Source organism: Homo sapiens, chromosome 3, assembly GCF_000001405.40.
Source record: "Homo sapiens chromosome 3, GRCh38.p14 Primary Assembly".
NCBI classification, from domain to species: Eukaryota; Metazoa; Chordata; class Mammalia; order Primates; family Hominidae; genus Homo; species Homo sapiens.
In genome coordinates this window covers 117658860-117677814 of record NC_000003.12, presented here as the reverse complement: position 1 = coordinate 117677814, position 18955 = coordinate 117658860, and the positions used below count along the sequence as shown (strand labels likewise).

Here is an 18955-nt window from a genome sequence, read left to right as displayed (position 1 = left end):
CAAAAATTGTGTGGGGGCAAGTGCCTGTAGTCCCAGCTACCTGGGAGGCTGAGGCAGGAGGGTCGCTTGAACCCAGGAGGCAGAACTTGCAGTGAGCAGAGATCGTGCCACTGTACTCTAGCCTGGTGACAGAAAGAGACTCCATCTCAAAAAAAAAAAAATATATATTAGCTGGGTGTGGTAGCACAGGCTGGTAGTCCGAGTTACTCAGGAGGAGAATAGCTTGAACCAGGGAGGTGGAGGCTGCAGTGAGCTGAGCTCATGCCACTGCACTCCAGCCTAGGCGAAAGAGTGAGACTCCATCTCAGAAAAAAATATATATATATACACATATATATATATATATGAAAATATATTGTTAAACAGAGTTTAATGCCTAAATCAATGTCAAAAATAAATATTTCAGTACAGCCAAGGAACAAAATAATGATTGTATATATAAGATCTTTATCCTCCTATTAGGAAAAATTAAATTGTGTTCAGTATAGGATTAAGTGGAAAACATTACATGTATAATATTCTTGTCTTTGTGAAAAGATTGGTGAGCTTTGGAGCAGAATGAATTTGGGTTGGAACCTAACACTACTAGAGTGGTTTGGGGAAGTTTCTAATCTCTTTTATCTTTACTTGTCTCATCCAAATAAAAATAAAAGCCTACTTCTTTTGTAGGTTTTTCGTTAGATAAGATATAGTATATGTTACAGTACTTGGCAGAAACTAGGTGCCCAATAAAGATTACCTTTTATGCTAATGATTATTGTGATTAAGCGTCTACTCTTTGCCAAGAACTCTAAATTGATTACTGTAGAGGGATACTATAATATTGAATCTGGCTCCCTGCTCTGAAAAAAAAGCTTATATCTTATTCTAATAAGAGTTTTAGAGTAATCTGCAAAGACGTGAGAGCAGTAACAAGTGGACATGAACATCAAAGCATTGTAATATAATGCAAATTTGCGATTGGAATACTTCGGGGATAATCCACGAGGAAGATGTTGACTGAGCAGGATTATTCCAAGGGGTGAGGAAGCCATCTCATTAGTTGGAGAATGTTAGAAACCATGGTAGGAGAAGGACCTAAGAGTCCAAGAGAGGAACCAAACTAGTTCAGTTTGAAGAGAATGGCTGTGTTTTTTGCAACTGAGTGTAGAGTTAATGGTTTCTTCAAATGTCTGCTGGGATGGATGTCACACATGTATGTCTTATGAGTGCCTAATATAAGTCCCACCTATTTTCCTTCTCCTTCACTTCCTAACTGTGTTCCTTCCTTAGTAATCTTCATCTCAGTTAAGAACATGACTATATTCTTCAGTTTTAAACTTTAGTTTTATTTTACATTTTCCTCTCTTCTCTGCCTATATCCCCTCATCTAGCTAAGCCTCTACCTTTAGCTCCGTTCTCTGCAACTCACATATGTCCTTTTCTTTCCATTCCCACAGTCATATCCTTGGAGACGCCCTCACACCTATCACCGGAACCACCGCAACAACTTCAACTTCCTTATCACTACTACCCTCATGCAGAAATGCTGCCCGATTTGTACATGCGTTCATGCCTACTCCTTGTTCAAGCAAACTCTGCAGATTTCCTATGGCACACAGGAAAGAAAAAAGAACGATAATACATTCCTATGTTTGCATATCCAAGTTCTCCAAAGTTCAGAGCTAATTAATCTTTCCTTTCTTATTCTCCATTGCAAACATTTCTCTTCGTCTCTCTTTGCTTTGCATCCTTGGATCTTAAGCTCTGCCCATACCAGCTAATTTCCCAAACATGCCCCACATCTCTGGCTTCAAAGCTTTGGATTTTCAGGACCTTGCCTAAAAGCTGTTCTTCCCACATGTGCTTGCAAGAACTGTTTGCCATTGAAAGTCCACTTCAGAGTCTACCCCTTAAGAGAAATCTTCATAGATAACCTATGTCAAAGGAATAGATTTAACAGAACTTTATACTTGATCATCCTGTGATTTAGAATTATGCTTGAATCCACCCTGAGACTTTGAACTCTTCATGGGCAAAGGGTAATCCTTATACATCTATGAACTTTCCTCAAAGCAGAGCCCAGCCAGCATATATTACAGGTACACAATAAAAATTGAACTGTTTAATCAAATACTGAAAATCGTAGTTCAATACATGATTTATATAGTCACTTGGTTCTTTATCTGATATATTTTCATGTTTGGATAAGTCTTTTTTTTTCAAAAGTATTTAAGTTCAAAAAATGCACTTAGAAGCTAGTTTGCGTTAAGGCTAATGAAGCTTAGGCTTCACATACCCTCTTCTGCATGGTGCCCCTGCCAATGCCCTGAGAAGGGCCTAGCATAGGTTTTCATCATTACATAATTTTGCAAAATTTACAAAAGCATAATAATTAAGCTATAGTTGGTTAAGACTTCTGTGTTTTCTTATATCTATTTGTATTCATTTCTTAAATAGGGCTCCTAAAATTATACAAGAAACCGTACAAGCTCTAGGCCCGACCAGAGCAGGATCTGTCTCGTGCATGTGTGTGTGGGAAGACCTCCCCCATGGAGGCAACTGGGAGCTCATCACAATGGGCAGCTACTTAGCTGGGATTGCCTAGATCTGAGTTAAGATGACTTCACCACAATAGAAAGAGGCCACAGTTCTTTAGAGCTTACACTCATCTTGTTAACCCTCCATGAGTCTTATCACCTCAATATGCAGTGCTGTTGGTAGGCCAAGAGGCTTTCATTTGACAGGACTGGTGATGCTTATATTGGGTCCGTGGCTTTTCCATCTGTGGGTAAGTCAGTGGATCTCAGAAACTTGGCTGGGTTATACCTGGAGGAGACACCTTATGAGTTCACCAATATGACTGCCATGTCAGCATCAGCAGAAACAAAGGCACTAATTCCAGCATCTGGTTCTCCTAAGTATTATGGAGGATACCAACAATGGGAAAATTGGACCCCTAATCTGAAACTTCATCCTCATTATTCTGAATGAACGAAAACTCTTAGAACCACAAAATATTGCTGAAAATGAGCTGGGAGTTGCTGGCATCTGTTTGAATAGCAGAACCACCACACAGGCTTTAAAAAGCCTTGAGAAAACCATTGGTCTCACAGCTGCTGACCTTTAGAAGAGGCTGGATGCTGAGACTGCAAAGGAACCTCCTGGTCAGAGACAAGAGCCACAGTGCTCAAGTGGCTTTGCAGAGTGATGCCACAGCTAATGGCCTCATTGGCGTGGTCAAAGAAAATGCGGTAGTTTTCTCTGTGTCTGGGCGAAATCAGATTGAGCATATATCCACAAATAAGCTGGACATTGTCCATACAGTGACTCATCAGAGACTTATCTCTACTCCCAAGCAATGCATTGGAGAGGATCTGTCACTGGTAAAGGTTTACACCAATCCCAAAGGCCAACCACAAAACTGTACCTCTCTAGTAGTGCTCTCTGATTGAAGGTCACAGTGGATAAAAATATTAATGAAGGTTCACAAACGAAACAAAGCAAAAACAGAAACAAAACCAAAAAACCAGTGGCTTCTATGCAGTGACCATGTCCCCTGCCCCAAGCCCTGTCTTGGCTTTGACAGCTGCTGGCCCAGGACATAGAGGAAGAAATCAAGGCTCGTAACTTTATTTTTCTCCACTTTAACCAACCCTTGAATGCTGAATTGCATAAAAGACCTGCTTTTTTATGTGGCCAAAAAAGTAGTTGTATTACATAAATAAGTACATCACCAACTAAGTTTCTATGTAAAATATTTTCAATTCTTGGAGTGTCTTTCCTCTTTTCTCCTAACTAGGCAATGAGTTAGACAACATAAGCAACTTATGATACAGCCTTTTACTCTAAACCATTTGAAATCAGCAAAATATAAAGACTGATTGCAATAAACCAAAGAAAAATGTAACATTACGTTTGAATGAATAAATAGTAGTATTCTGGTACTCAACATAGACAAAGAGATCTGTATTTTGCCACCTAATCATTATAAATAGTAAATATAGTTCAGTCTCAGTGAGACAAAGAGGGCTAAACTATAGTGCTCCTGAGAGGTTTTGGTACACAATCTGGCAAGTGACTATTTCATTGTTACAGCCCATAATGGGGGTAGTAGATGTGTGGATGTGAAGTCAGCATTTCTCCTGCTGTTGGCACATGGGGAAGCAAGATTAATAGCATTCTTCTATTGTTACTGCTCTAGTGGGGAATTGTCATAACCAACCACTTGTAACCTATTACCCCAAAGAGGATTTTCAACGTAAAACCAAACTGTTCCATTTCTACAGTACCACAAGGCTGTTTCTAACCACTGACCGTTTGATTGAACATAATTCAAGAATTTATTGAATCAGTTGAAGTATTCAGTTATTTTTCTCTACTTAATGAAGGGAGTTGTCTTTGTGGAATTTGAGACCAAAGGTGCCTATTAGTATAGATGGTCAGTGCATGGTGCTAATAAAATCAAATTCATCATTAGAGTCTTACGTTACAATCATATAATGCTTTACAATTAAAAAGAAATGCCACATTAGTGCACTTTGAGCCTTCATTAAAACTTTGAGAAATATCTGAGTCAAGTATTAACTTCATTTTGCATATGAATAAAAAAGTCTACAACAACAGGCTGAGAGAAATTTACAAACTGGTCAATTAATGATCACATAGTAGTGGAATGGTAATGGAATTGGTACTTCTGACTAAAAAAATTTTAATGATAAACTATTTTAAGCCAGTCAGTGTCATTTAATGTTTGTTTACTGATCTCAAAGTAAATTCTTTTTTAAAAATGCTGGTATGTGTCATGACTGGATCAGAATAAACCAAACACAAATCCAGGATAAACAATAAAAAATGTAGCCCACTAATAAATACTAAAAAATGTTTTCAATCTAAAATAAACCGAAGAAAGTATACAAACCTAGTAGACTATTCTATTGGTGGAGGGCAATGTCAGAATTAATAAGAAAAGCTATAACACTTTAAATAACATGGTGATATCATCAATGAAATACAGGTTCAGGCCATGTTTAAATGCAGTGCTATCTCATCATTGCATAGTACTTTACAGTTTTTACCCCCAATTTTGTCCACTCTTCTCATAATCATATTTTGAAGTTATAAAAGTTTAAAAGACAGATGTCTTGGAGAACCCTTGATAGTTGATTTTCAGTTAAAGGCTCCAAATCAACTCGCTGTAATACAAAAATAATCATTCTTTTGTTGGATAGGTGTATATAAAATGTTAGCACCAAAGGAGAAATATCATAGGCACTAAATCGGCATTTTTTATCCTTGGCTTCACGAAAATGTTATTTAGACACAGTCAGTAGTGAAATATAGTTTTAAATCTTGTCTTGGTAATTGCTAAACTGAAAACAAATATAGGCACGCTATAGTGTACACTATATTCTATGAGAACATAGGAAAATGATATTCACTACATTCATAAGTTCTGAGAATAAGGGGCTTAATTTTAACATAAATAATCAAGCAAATAAAATCATCTTAAATTAGTGTTCTTTTTTTGTCATTGCAGAAAATATTTTATTCCCCTACCTTCCTGAAGGAGGTGTACATTCCATCCACATATGACTTGGAGTGGGCTCAAAGTTTGTTAAATAATGACTTGGGGTGAGTGAGGAGGGGCAGCTGTCAAGGGAACAGATCAATTAGCCAATTGAAATGTCATTTCTCCACTCGCTGTAGGTTGTTGCCATGTCTTTTTGCTGCCTCTTCCTCTCTCTCTCTCTCATTTCTTATTCTCTTGTATTTTGATTTAGATATAAAAGCTGAGACATAATTTAAACTGACAGCAGAACCAAGCAGTGTGACCTTGCCAGGATTCCCACACAATCCACTGGGGGTAAAGCATGGGCCGAGGGAGGGGTGAGTGAGAGCGAATGAGAAAGGAGTGAGCTAGCCTTTCCAGATGGCCTTGCTGCTCATGTATTCCTGGAGGGCTAGTCTCGGGTCTGGATGTTTTCAGACCTGTCTGACAGGGGAATGAAAGCTGGAATGAAAAGGAAAAGAAGAAAAACTGGGGAATGACCAAAGATTTGAGCAATAGAGTGTTGATGATAATATAAGGCCCCATACTTGACTGTGTCAGACACTGAATGACTGGTATTTAACATTTTAGAGCTTAGTCTTGCTCAGCTAGGGAGAAATAGCTAGTGTCCACTTTAGTAACACAGTAACCAGATAAACACTACCTTGCCAGATGACAGATACTAAAAGGATAGCTGGCAGGAAGGCACCTAAGACTTGGGTTTGCAATGGACGCTCCAAAGGTTTCTGAGCAATAACTGCAATTTGTATATCCAGAGGAGGGCTGGGTGGCCTAATAGGTGTGTTTGAGATAACTACAGGCAGTATGAGATTGCTTCTGGCATTTTTTTGCAACTCAGAATGTCAGGATGTTCATTGGCAGTGTCAACAGTCTTTCCCACCATCCAGTTGCATGAGTCTACCTCTTTCCAAACATCAGGTGGCTTGTAAAGCCCAGTCAGCAGCTGGATGGGTTGAAGAATCTTCACCTAGCCAGGCCCTGGGAAAGCCTGGATGAATTGCTCCACCCCATTGCAGAGAGCACCTTTCTGGTGCCAATGTTTCTTTGCCTTGGAAAATGATGGAAAACCCCAACAAAGTTGCTAGAAGAAATTATTTTCCAAAACAGGAGAGTGAGAAAAGGTAGAATGGTCTGATGACTACGATGAAATGTTTCTCCGACAAAATAGCCATGGGAAGCCATGATCCATGAAAGGATTAGAAAGGACCTAAGAGAGAAGAAAGATCTGGAATGCATTCTTGACCAGATCTGTTATTGGACATGAGAATGATAAGGCAATAACAATAAAAACACAACACAAACCACAACAGCTGCCACTTAATGAATTCTTGCTTTGTGCCTGGCACTGTTGTAAGTGCCTGATGTGACATTTCATGTATTCCTCCCAGCAACATGATGAGGTAGGTCCTTAGAAAGGTCTAAATCAGTTTTAGAACCTGTGTAGGTTGACTCCAGAACCTTCTCACGTTTCCACAAGTGGTATCATACCTTGTGCTGTCGACTAGTCAGTTTTTGAAGGTAGTAATGAAACACAGACATAGTTTGTGTCCCTCAAGAAACTTAACATTTAACTGAGAAAGAAAATGAAAACATGAAACTACCACAATTTTTTATAATGAGATGAGATATAAATAATTAAAATCCCTTGCAAAATAATTAAAAATAATAAGATTGTGACCAAATGATGCTTGATAGAAATCAAAATGAGAATCAGGCTAAGAATCCATGAAGGCTGAAATTGAGCTGAGCCTGAAGAAGTGTGCAGGGAGGGAGAAGTGAATTATGTTCCAAGTTGCAGGAATACCAGAACACTGAGGTGAGAATGAGTTCGGTATGTTTTAGAAACAGTGAATTGATTGGAGAGATGACAATGGAGGGCCTGACGGCGGATCAAGGAGCTACAGAGTCAGTTGAGGAAGTGGAAGAAATTTAATGTCAGAGGAAAGCTGTAGCTTTCTGAGCAAATGGGCCGTACTGGGTACAAGCAGAGTCATAGGAGACTGTTCTCATAGCTGAGCTGATGGAGTGGGTATGAGAGATAGAGCGTACAATCTAGTCTATCTTTGAAGGAAACAATCATCTCTAAGCAGTTAGCATAACTTCTGTGAGGTGCAGCCTTAACATCTGAAAGCTCAGCTTTTGCAATGAACGACAGATGCCAGCAGAGCTTGTGTTCCACACAATGGAAGTAAATCAGCCCTGCCCTTTTCACAGTCAGCTCACATGCCTGAGATATAATATATGGGTTTCCCCTACTCATAGCTCCAAAAGTGGGAGTGGGAGGAGGCCCAGGGTTGAAAGGTGCTCATTTCAGGCTTGTAAATACACCTTTCAGTTGAAAAGAGCTATCATGTGTCTAGCTCACTCCTCCCCGACTCTGTGAGCAAGTCTCTTCCTTCAGCTAACTGGAATTACCACATCATTTCACTCCACCGGGTTTTCTTGACTTGGCAGTTTTCTGATTGCCTGGCGGTCACAGACCATATTCTATCTATTGCTGATACAGGGACCTAGAAATGAGGGAATTGAAAATGCACAAGGCTGTTACCAGGACCCCAGCTCAGAGCTGTCCCTGAACTGAGATTTTTGTTGTTGTTGCTTACATAGAGAATCAGTCTCCTTCTCTTCCTCAGCTGTCACATTTCCCTTGTTCCCCCTCCAGATCTCCTGCAGTCTCTCTTTTAACCTTGCCCACTCTGTCAGGCAATCCCTCTGTACAGAAGCTGTCCACGGGTAGCCCAGAACCTTAATGAGTATGAGGTGAGGCTCCATCATTCCTGTTTGAGAAAATTAAAATAACATCTCTGCAGTCAACTAAGCAACCTGTGTCCAGAGCACAGCGTACTTAGCAAAACGCATTTCCTCAATTTCAGCTCCTTGGAAACCTTTCTTAACCCCAGCCCGTCACCGTTGGACTCCCCGGCTCAGTGTCAAAGAGAGATCATTGTTTTGGCTGAGGTTCCTTTACACAATCCTGTTATAGATCCTAGGAAGTGAAGAGGAAATGTAAGTCAATAGTGAAGGCTACTTTCAATACTCAATAACCATTGCTGCCTAAATTCAGAATCTCTGCTGCACTTCCCTTGCATTCAGAATTATCCATCAATGGTTATAAAAGAATGAAAGGCATTCAACATTTTTAAAAATTAACTTTACGATTATTTTGGAATCATTTTAGATCTATATAAATGCCAAAAATTAGTGCAGAGAATTCCTCATGTCTTACCCATTTTCCTCTATTACCATCTTACATTAGTATGGTATATTTGTTACAATTAATAAACCAATTTTGACACACTATTATTAACTAAAGTCCATAGTTTATTCATGTTTCCTTACTTTTTACAAAATATAACTTTTCTGTTCTGGGATCTCATCTGGATACCAAATTACATAATCATGTCTCCTTAGGTTCCTCTAGACTGTCACAATTTCTCAGACTTTCCTTGTTTCTGATGACCTTGACAGTTTTGAGGAATAATGCTCAGGTATTTTGTTGAATGTTTCTCTATTGGAATGTGCGTGTTATTTTTCTCATAGATTGGCATTATGGATTTGAGGGAAGAAAACCAAAGAGGTGAGGTGCCATTTTATCACATTATGTCAAGGGTACCTATTATCAATATAACTTATCACTGTTGATGTTGAGCAGATCCCTTGGCTGGGAAAGTGTTTATCTGGTTTCTCCAGTGTAAAGTTACTGTTTTTCCCCCTTTCAATACTTTACTCAAAAGAAGTCACAATATGCAACCCGCACTTAAGGAATGGAAAGTTATGCTGTACCTCCTTGAAAGTGGGGTATATACATAAATTTTCTGTATTTTTTCTAAGCAAGAAATGTGTCTGTTCTCTTTATTTGTTTATTTAAAATTTATTCATAGCAATATAGACTCATAGATTCTTATTTTATGTTTTGGGTTATAATCCAATACTACTTTATTTTGCTGCTTAAATTGTACAGCTTTGGCTATTGGAAGCTCTTTTAATTGTATCCTGTTTCTCTTTAATTATATCCCGTTTCTCTTTCCCATCATTGTAGGATTTTGATTTGTTTGGTTGTTTCTTTCTTTCCGACACTATAAGTTGTTCCAAGCTGACCTGGAATATTTCCTGCCCGAGTCCTAGAATGAACCATTTCTTCAAGGAACACTAGTTCCTGTTATTGGAGAATAGTGTTAGAAATTAAGATGTAGGTACTAGGTGAAAATTAAAAATTTGAGCACCCAACCCTGACATTTTGTGTCAAGATCTATTAGGTGATAAATATAAATTTCATAAAACCCTGCAAAATAAATATTAATGTTTTCTTTTGTAAGATGAAAATAGAGTACTAGAGAGGTTGGAGAATTGTCCAAGTTTAAACAGTGAACCCCAGAGCTACAGTGTGAACTTTGGTTGTCTAAGTCTAGAACTGTACCTCAGCCACTTATTCTGTATTGAAAACTGGTGATGTCAGAAACAAGATGAAATGTAAAGAATGGGTTCCCTGGATTCAAGTAAGCATAGTTTTGAATATCACCTCTTTCTGTGTGTATGCTTGTGTTAAAAGGTTGTTTAGATCTGTACGTGCAGAGCTTTTAGAACAATGCCTGACAGATGGTATTTGATAAATTTTATTATCGGTTATATCATCATCATCTTTATTATCTTCATTATCTCCTACTGTAAGCTTACGGTTCCATTTCTCATTCTTCAGCTACTGATTACGGGCATCCTGAAGTGTCCTTATCTTGGTCTTATAGAAAGGGTAAATGAACAAGCCAAATAATTCATTCATGGGTGCCTAATGCCACCAAACCAAATATTTAATGTATGAGTGAACTTCTTTTAATCTATACGATTTTTCTCCTTGTTTGAAGTAAAGGAAGGAAATTCGGAAGGAAGGAATACTGTAGGAAAAGAGCTAGGCTCCCCTCGACTAAAGTGGCCAGATGTCTTGAATTGTTTGCAAGTTTGCCCATAATGCCTTTTCTTAGAGTCTATTCAAACTCCTCTATAGTCTATTGATCACAGTCTTCTGTCTCTAACTGAAGGTGAGTGTGTGGAAGTATATATGTGTGTGTGTGTGTGTGTGTGTGTATATATATATATGGAGATATATATATATATGTGTGGATATATATATATGTATCCCTCTTTCTCTCCTCTGGAAATGCAGAAAAACTGCATGCTGAGGGAGGGAGGGGTTGGGAGGATTCATGGGCAATCACTAGGTCATGAGGATTAGCAACCATCGTTAACTCTGATGATATCATGCTCATTTCCTAAACACTAACCCTCAGTTATGCACAACCGTCATTCACAAACCCACTTAAAATATAAATCTATCAATTTTACTTTAGCTTAGTAGCATCCTGAAAGTCCTGTACACAGAGCACGTACTTTAAACAAGTAGATAGAGACCCCAGATAAAACATAAACAGAAAAGGGGAGAGAAGTAAATGCTTTGCTAATGAGCTAAGATTAGGGTTTCCTTTTCTTTCAAGTGTCATGTTTAGGGCTTAAGCACCTCTGATCTAGAAAAAGAGATCAGAGGATCTTTGAGATGCAGGGGTTATGTGAGGTCACCCATCTCAGCTCGAATACTTCTAATGCAGGAGAGAAGATCAGGAGACACTACACAGGTGGTGCAGCTTGGCTGACTGCTATATTGTTTTCTTGATAAACTGAAGGAATCATGGCCACTTTTGCACTGGCAGAACTCAGGGTCATTTGGTGACAGAATAATAACATGGGACAGTGAGGATTCTGAGGAGAACTGGGCTCAGGTTAAGGAGTGAGATCTGATTCAATGTTTTCATTTCTTGTTACTCCTCACTCTAGCCAGTGTCACGTTCCTGGCTACCCCATAAATATCGTATCTGTTCTGCTTTGAAAAGGAGCTGTGCTGAGCTCCTGGTGAGCTTCTGATGGTGGCTGAGGCTAGTATTGCAAAGTAACAGGAAATAAAGAAAAAAAAAAGGAAGGAAAGGGCAAAGATAAAAAAAGAAGAAAAAGAGTGGGAATTTATGCAGCTGTTTCTTTTTTTTTGGAATCTCACTCTCGCCCAGGATGGAGTGCAGTGGTGCAATCCTGGCTCACTGCAACCTCTGCCTCCTGGGTTAAAGCGATTCTCCTGCCTCAACCTCCCGAGTAGCTGGGATTACAGGTGCTCACCACCACACCCAGCTAATTTTTGCATTTTAGTAGAGACAGGGTTCCACCATGTTAGCCAGTGTGCAACTGTTCTTGACTAATTTCTTAATATACTGAAAGGAAGATACAAGAATGAATAGATGGGTAAATCTATCCAGTACCAGTCAAAAGCTCACTCTCTCTCCTTCTCTCTTTTCTCTGAAACTTTTCTTCCTAGAACCATATAAATATAAGAACTGAAAATAACCCAGAAGATCATCTAAAGCAATCCTGTTTTTTTTAACAGATTAAAACTTTATTCCTGAGAAATGGAACTTATTGTGAAATGATTGCAAAACCCACATTTAAACCCATGTTTTCTGATTCCCACTGTCATGTGGAGGGCTATCCTCCTCATAGTCTGCTATGTCCTTTTTTGTCTTTCTCCTTCTCATCCTACAACCACCCCCAGCCACATGCAGGGTTAGTCCTATATTTGTTCCTGTTTCTGCTATATTTGCAACTTAACTTATGGATGGAAACATGGAGCCTCACTGATTTCTGGCAGAGATCTGTCTCATGTGCTGACAAACACTCCCTGGCACTGGGCACCCGTCCAACAGCAGGTGCCTTGCTCGGCAAACGGCTCTGTAGTTGCTTCTCAAAGGAGGCAGGTTGAGGTCCAGCATGTTCTTCCTGCTGCCTCGAGGTTATGATCTAGCACCAGCATTTCTCTCACCAGGTGAAAGGAAGTGAGACTAATGCTGCAAGGTTACCAACACTAAACATGGGAGGTGGCTATAGGGAGCATCTGTGGCAGCTTAGGGATTCTTAGCTTGATGGATGGGCAAGAAGATAAGATGAGACATTTGAAATTGTTTACATAGGACTATTGTCCATGAAACTGAGTAGTTGACCTTCAGGTCACGATGAAATGTCTGCGTGTTTTCTCAAGGTGAGAGTGAGCTACAAGATGAGGCTTCAAGGACCTAAATTTGTATCATTATAGGACTCATTGAGGCAAATTATTCTTGTTTAACAATATGCGTTTATTTTTGTACATTACACACTAATTTAGACACATATAGTATATACGTAATGGTTATAGCTATAGATGCTATAGATGAGCAAATAGAAGGTAATGAACACAGGGCTTAAAGTTTATAAGAGGCATATTGCCTTAAAGTTAATAAAAGGTTATAGACACAGAAAAATGAATGGTGGGACCCTCCATGAAATGGATGGCACAAAAGCAGGAAAGCACAAGTCATGTAGAAAGGCAGTGAAAAACAATTTTTGAGAGATCCTAAGGGTTTGAGTAGGGGTATAATAAAAGAAAATGTTGTAAAAAATGACATGCAGAATTAAAATATCTGAGTGAGGTCTATCTTCTTTGATTGACAAGCCAATGAATGTATTATTTGTTAGAGGAGTGACTTGATTTGAAAAACATTTAAAAATATTAATCTGGCAGCATGCAAATGATACATTGGAAATATAGAGGTCAGAGACATCAAGTTTAATTAGAAAAGTTTGTCAGTTATTCAAAAATAAGAAGTTATAGGACCTAAATTAGAGTGGTGGCACTGAGAAAAGAATGTAAGGATGAATAGACAGGTGGATGGAAGAAATTCCGCACAGAAATAATGGAGCAGCTATGGCAATAAATTCACTTTGTGGGTCCAAGGATAAGGGGTTAATTATGATGCACAGGTTAGGTATGGGATTGATTTGACTGCAATGTAATTCTCTCAGTTGTGTCATAGGGGCTAATTTTTTTGATATGATCAACTCATATTGTTTGACCTTAGCTGATTGGGAAAATGGTGGCATAACTGAAAATATGAAGAAAAGCCAAAAAGCAGAGATATCTTATGGGACAAGGGAGAAAATTTTGTAAGACAAGCTTTAGGTAATAGCAGAACACTGATACCAGGCTCTGGGAAAGGCAGAACTGGTGCTCAGAAAAGGTAACAAGATTGAAGTGGAGACCACATGTTGAAAGTCAAGTGTGTCCAGGACAAAGAGCATGGGGACCACAATTAAGCCTTTGTAACACCCTCCTTCAAAGGTTGGGAGGGAAAGAAAGTAGTTTTCAGAGATGTCACAGTTGAAGAAATGGGAAAAAGCAAGATTTCATTCTGCTGGGGACAGAATCTGAATCTCAAAGGATTAAGGAGAAAGTAAGTGGAAACATGAAAGTGACAATTATGAACTAATGTTCTACAGCAGAAAATTAATTACATTCACGGTGTTGCACATAAAACCTTATTCAGGAAGGAGACTTGGACTGCCTCTTATTTCCAACCCCATCCCATGTTTATTTCACTTTTTCATTTGCATACAATACTGTTAGGCGTCTGATTTCATGGTTGCTGTATTCATGGATTCAGCCAACCATGGCTGGAAAGTATTTGGAAAAATAAAAACAATAAAAATAATTATACAACACAAATTACAACATATAGTAAAACAACTATTTACATAGTATTTACATTGCATTAAGTATTATAAGTAATCTAGAGATGATTTAGAAGTATACTGGAGGATGTGCATAGATTATATGCAAATACTATGCCATTTTATATAAAGGACTTGAGCATCCACAGATGTTGGTATTCATCCCAGATCCAATCTCCTGCAGATACTGAGATAAAACTGTGCTTATTATTATGTGAGTTTTGACAGACAGATTTATATTTTTCTGTATCCTAGGAAACATAGACTGAGTCCAGAGAGTCTCAAATTATTTTCTGCCCCCATCAACTTGCTTCTCTGTCTTGTCCAAGGAAGCCTGACTCCCATAGATTTATGAGATAGACTCCACTTCTGGTCTATGTTTGGTCTCCCTGAGCTCCATCTGTTGTGGGAAGCCCACAAAACTGTCTCTTATTTTTTTCCCTCCAATGGTTCTTGTTTATCTCATTGCATTATCTCCTTTACTTCTCTTTGAATCTGTGAAACAATTCTGCTCATACTTGCATCTTTGTCCATCATTTAAGAAACTAGGATATTAACACAACTCCTTGTAACATTGAAACAATGATATTTATATTCATATAGCTTTTTAGTTTCCTAAGTGATAATATGTCTGTATCTTATTTGGCCTTCACAACAATTCAGGAGTTGGGTAGGCCAAATAATTATACCCATTTCAGAGAGGGAAACTGAAGATCTAGTGAACAGTGTATAATGAACACACACTGGAACCTAGTCTTACATTAATATTTCCTGACTTCTTACCAGTTTTCATCTCATGACCTTATATTGCCCAAATTATCTTTCATAGAAAACCCACAGGTCTGTCTTTCACAATGTGAGGTAGTCATTGGGACCACTGGCTTCTGCATCATACAGACTGAATAGTTAGTTCCAAGTCATTGTGTGGCTTTGCAAAGACTCAGTAAACTCCTTGATTCTCAGTGGCATCACCCGGAAAATGGTGGGAATAATAATAATATGCCATCATAGGGTTGCTGTAAAAATCAAATAAAACTACATTATAGAGAATGCATAAGGATCACCCAACAAAGGTTAACAGCAATAAAATAATTTATTTAGGATAAATAATCATATTTGATCATAAGCTTTTTTCACAAGTGTTCTCTTAAAACTCACATGGCATGCCCTTGAATGTGCTTTTATATAGTGAGGGAAATCTGCAATTAGGGGAAATAAAATATGTTTTCAGAGATAAGTAATTTATACACATCTATTGGAGCTGAAATAAAAAATTCTGATAAGTCAAGAAAAGTAGTATTATTGATTAAATAATCCTTAGTTATAACAGGCTTCTTTTAGTCTTCAGGCTTGAATTTTTATTCTTGCTTTGCCTTTTTCCTCGTCCTTATTTTTCTTCCCCTTTCCTTTTAAGCCATGGCACCTTGTAGTGTTATTCTTGCCCTCACAAATAGGACAGACTGTCAGATCTTAAAGCCAATGTTAACAATGTAGAAGGAGAAACAGAAATCTCACTGAAATACAAATACTTTTATTAATTACCAGCATTAGCAGTAAAAAGAAAAGTAGAAAATTACAGACAAGGAGAGCAACTTCTGGTTCTGAATGTTCTTCGTATTTCTCCATGATTACAGCTTGAAGTGCCTTTTCTTCCAGAGGCAGGGTAGCTTGGATAGGAGACTCAGTGAGATTTTGTGCCTTCAATAAATGTCAAATTCATGACGTCCCACTGGTTCTAGGATATAACCGGAATGTACACCCACTCCTCACCTGTGCTCTTTCCTCTGCTACCTAGATAGAAGGTAGTAGGAGGATAATTGGCAGAGTCAGACACCACTGAGAATCAGCTCTGAGATCTACTCAGGAAAACACTATAATGGGCCCTTTTTGCAATAAACTGTGTCTTCTGAGTCCAGCCAATGAGGCACATTCAGAGGGGAAAACTTCTAACCTATATGAGTCACTGAATATTTTAAGGATTAATTCATAGATGCATACACATTAGCAATTTTAACTTTTTGTTTTTTGCCTTCCCTGATCAAAGCCAAATTATGAAATATTTTTAAAGGCCTCATATCTGTCTGATGAAAAATTTTGTTAGCACAACTGGATAGATAGAAGCTCCTAGAGACTACTGAAATCAATTAACTCTGACATGTTATTTTTGTTGTTCTATACCGAAGCTATGTCAAGTGTTGGGAATCTGCCCTTCTAAGCCACAAGCTTCTGGCTTATAGAGTTAAGTTGTCTCAGGACCACCTGGGGAGCCTTGATGGTATCTGAAACAAAAACAGAGAACTAAGAAACATATCCTATTGCACTTAGGCAATATTCCCATTATTTTAATAATGGGAAAGGGAATCTATTTAAGAAACTCAGGTTTCTATACAGGAGAAGATGAGGGATATGGAACAAATGGAGATGAGAGAATGAGGTAAATGGCCTTCAAAGTTAGGTAGAGAAAAAAAAAAAAAAGAAGAAGGTGGAGCCCCACACTTAGAAATGTCATGGGATGTGGCTTTGTAGGAGGTTTGAGTCTTGCTCATTCATTTGCCAGCTCTCAATGAGCAGGGAACTGTGGGCCCTGCAAGGAAATGAAAGGAACAAAGATAATAGCAGCCCTCAAAGACTTCCTGGTAGTTTTGTTTTAGAATCAAAGTATGGTAGAACCAAAGGCAACATTCAATAGCAGAAAGCTCAAGCCTCTTCATTTTTCGGATGAGACAACTGAGGCATAAGAAGGTGATGTGACTTGCACATTTCTTTTTTTTTTTTTTTTTTTTTTTTTTTTTTTAGCAAACTTGTTAGTTGCCAAATCAAGGCTAAAACCCGACAGTCTTCATAACTCCTAGTACATTGCTCTTTTTCACTCTACCACTCCCTTTAGAAGTCTGAGCTCTTTGTAGGCTTTTTTGCTCTAAATTCTTAACAGAAATATTTTATCTCTTCTCTTGAGGTAGAGAACCTAGCAAAGATGAGAAAACTTCTTTCTATCCAGATTTTACTACTATTCATTCAATTCTTTCACCACCTCTGTCCTCCACACAAATTTTCACCATGCTCACACTATAATGTCCCCTTGAAACAAATCTTGAAGTTATAGAGTCTGCTCTAAGAAACCCTGGCTGCTCTCTCCTTGAGGGGAGTTTTAAGGAACACTTTCTTGCTTGTGTCAGAGGGATCCTTGACCCAATGAACCCCATGAGAGTCAGTATGCACTTGTTGAACACTCCTTCAATGCCACCTACAGATGCTTGAGCCCTTGATCTTAATTAATAAACATGGAAACAGATTTATAAGTCATAGTTTTTATATCAGATAAAGTGACTGCCATTCTTCCTTTATGGCTTTCCAGTATTTTAGTCACTTATTTGAATTTGAATCATATTTTTAAATGGACATATATATTTTCTTTTGTTGGTTATTTGGGACAAATGTGCGGCAAATATACACAAACATTATACACTAGTTTGAATATGACTCTCTTAAATTTAATGAATGTCTTAAATTTCCAAATCTATAATTTTGTATGCTTTGAAATTGAAGAAGCATGAGTTTTTATTATTCATGAGTGTACCATTAAGTTATTTCATAATGATGTATTCAGTAAAGTGATGAGAATCATGATAATAATACTTTTATAATCCTATTTATCTGCTATACATTCATTAGAACAGGTGGAACCTGGTTGATCAAGTGTACAATTTACTATTAAAATCAAAATGTCCCTAACTATCACATTTCATGGTGTTAGGAAATGTCATTGATTCTTATTTCTGGAGTACGCTGGGATCTAAGGTATATATGTTCATATTAATTGTATAGTATAATTATTGGAATATAATAAAATATAATAATATCATTTAATGTTTTCAGTGATAGTGTACACTTTGCGGTGGAAGAAAAGCTGCAACTTTGACACTCTCACATATGTTCTTCATACTGAGATAAATGAATGTTAGATCTATGTTTACTTGCTTTGTTTTTATAACCTGTGATTTCTGGATACATATGCCAGCCTTTGGTATGCTCTGCAATATATATGAGTATTATGTTATTGTCTATGATTAATATACTTAGGATTGAGTGGCTCAATTACAATGTAGCTAAAAGAGAAAAACAGTAAAAGTGGGCAAGGTCTTAGGTAAAGCTTGTAGAGATCATATAACAAGTTTTAGATGGGTAAGTGGAAGAAGCAAAATTGATTTAAGCCAGGGTACTGAAAACTGATGTACTAGTGATTGTTAAATATTACCACGTCTGAGGAAACATTTGAGTAGCCTAAAATGTGGGCCAAGGCCTTTACATACTTTAATTAGTGCTGTATTATTGCACACCATTCATACGACTTGAGAATTTCAAAATAATCAATGGTCCCTGTTCTTTTCATCTGCCCCATATCTTGTTACCTTGGCAACAGACATTAAATGATTTTAAGAATTTTCAGAATTATAATCACACTCTACTTCAAAAGTGTGCTTCTAGGTAAATAAACTTTAAGAAAAAAAGAGAAATGAGACCTAAAGGTAACCTCAAAGCACACTGAATGAGAACCTGAAGGATTGGCATTTTCTGTTTACAGTGTACTGTAAAAACAACTTCCGAGCTTTTGGTGGAGTCCTCCAGATGTCAGAGTCTTCTTAGGCCATTCAGGTACAGAAGAATTATGCCATTTCTCCTCCCACTCCAATACTGGATTACTTGCAATTGGTTTTAAATCAGTAGGTGGATCAGAAGAAAGAGAAGGAGGAGGAATAATAGCAGGGCATGAAAATAGAGGAAGATGCTGAAGAAAGTGATGGTGCAGGTGGTGGTGATGGGGAAGATGCC

At 38.0% G+C, this 18955-nt stretch overlaps 1 long non-coding RNA gene and 1 pseudogene across 1 annotated transcript in view; both read left to right on the top strand.

Annotated features, from left to right (window-relative positions):
* The first annotated feature begins 291 nt into the window (after nt 1-291).
* The window catches only part of LOC124906270 (uncharacterized), a 35110-nt gene continuing 16446 nt past the window's right edge, over nt 292-18955 (top strand). Inside the window, exons 1-2 of the long non-coding RNA XR_007096022.1 lie at nt 292-2081; nt 2440-18955. The exon at nt 2440-18955 is cut by the window's right edge and continues 16446 nt beyond it. This is a non-coding gene — a long non-coding RNA (uncharacterized LOC124906270). The remainder of the gene's footprint in view (nt 2082-2439) is intronic.
* Nucleotides 2558-3500, top strand: DRG1P2 (DRG1 pseudogene 2; annotated as a pseudogene).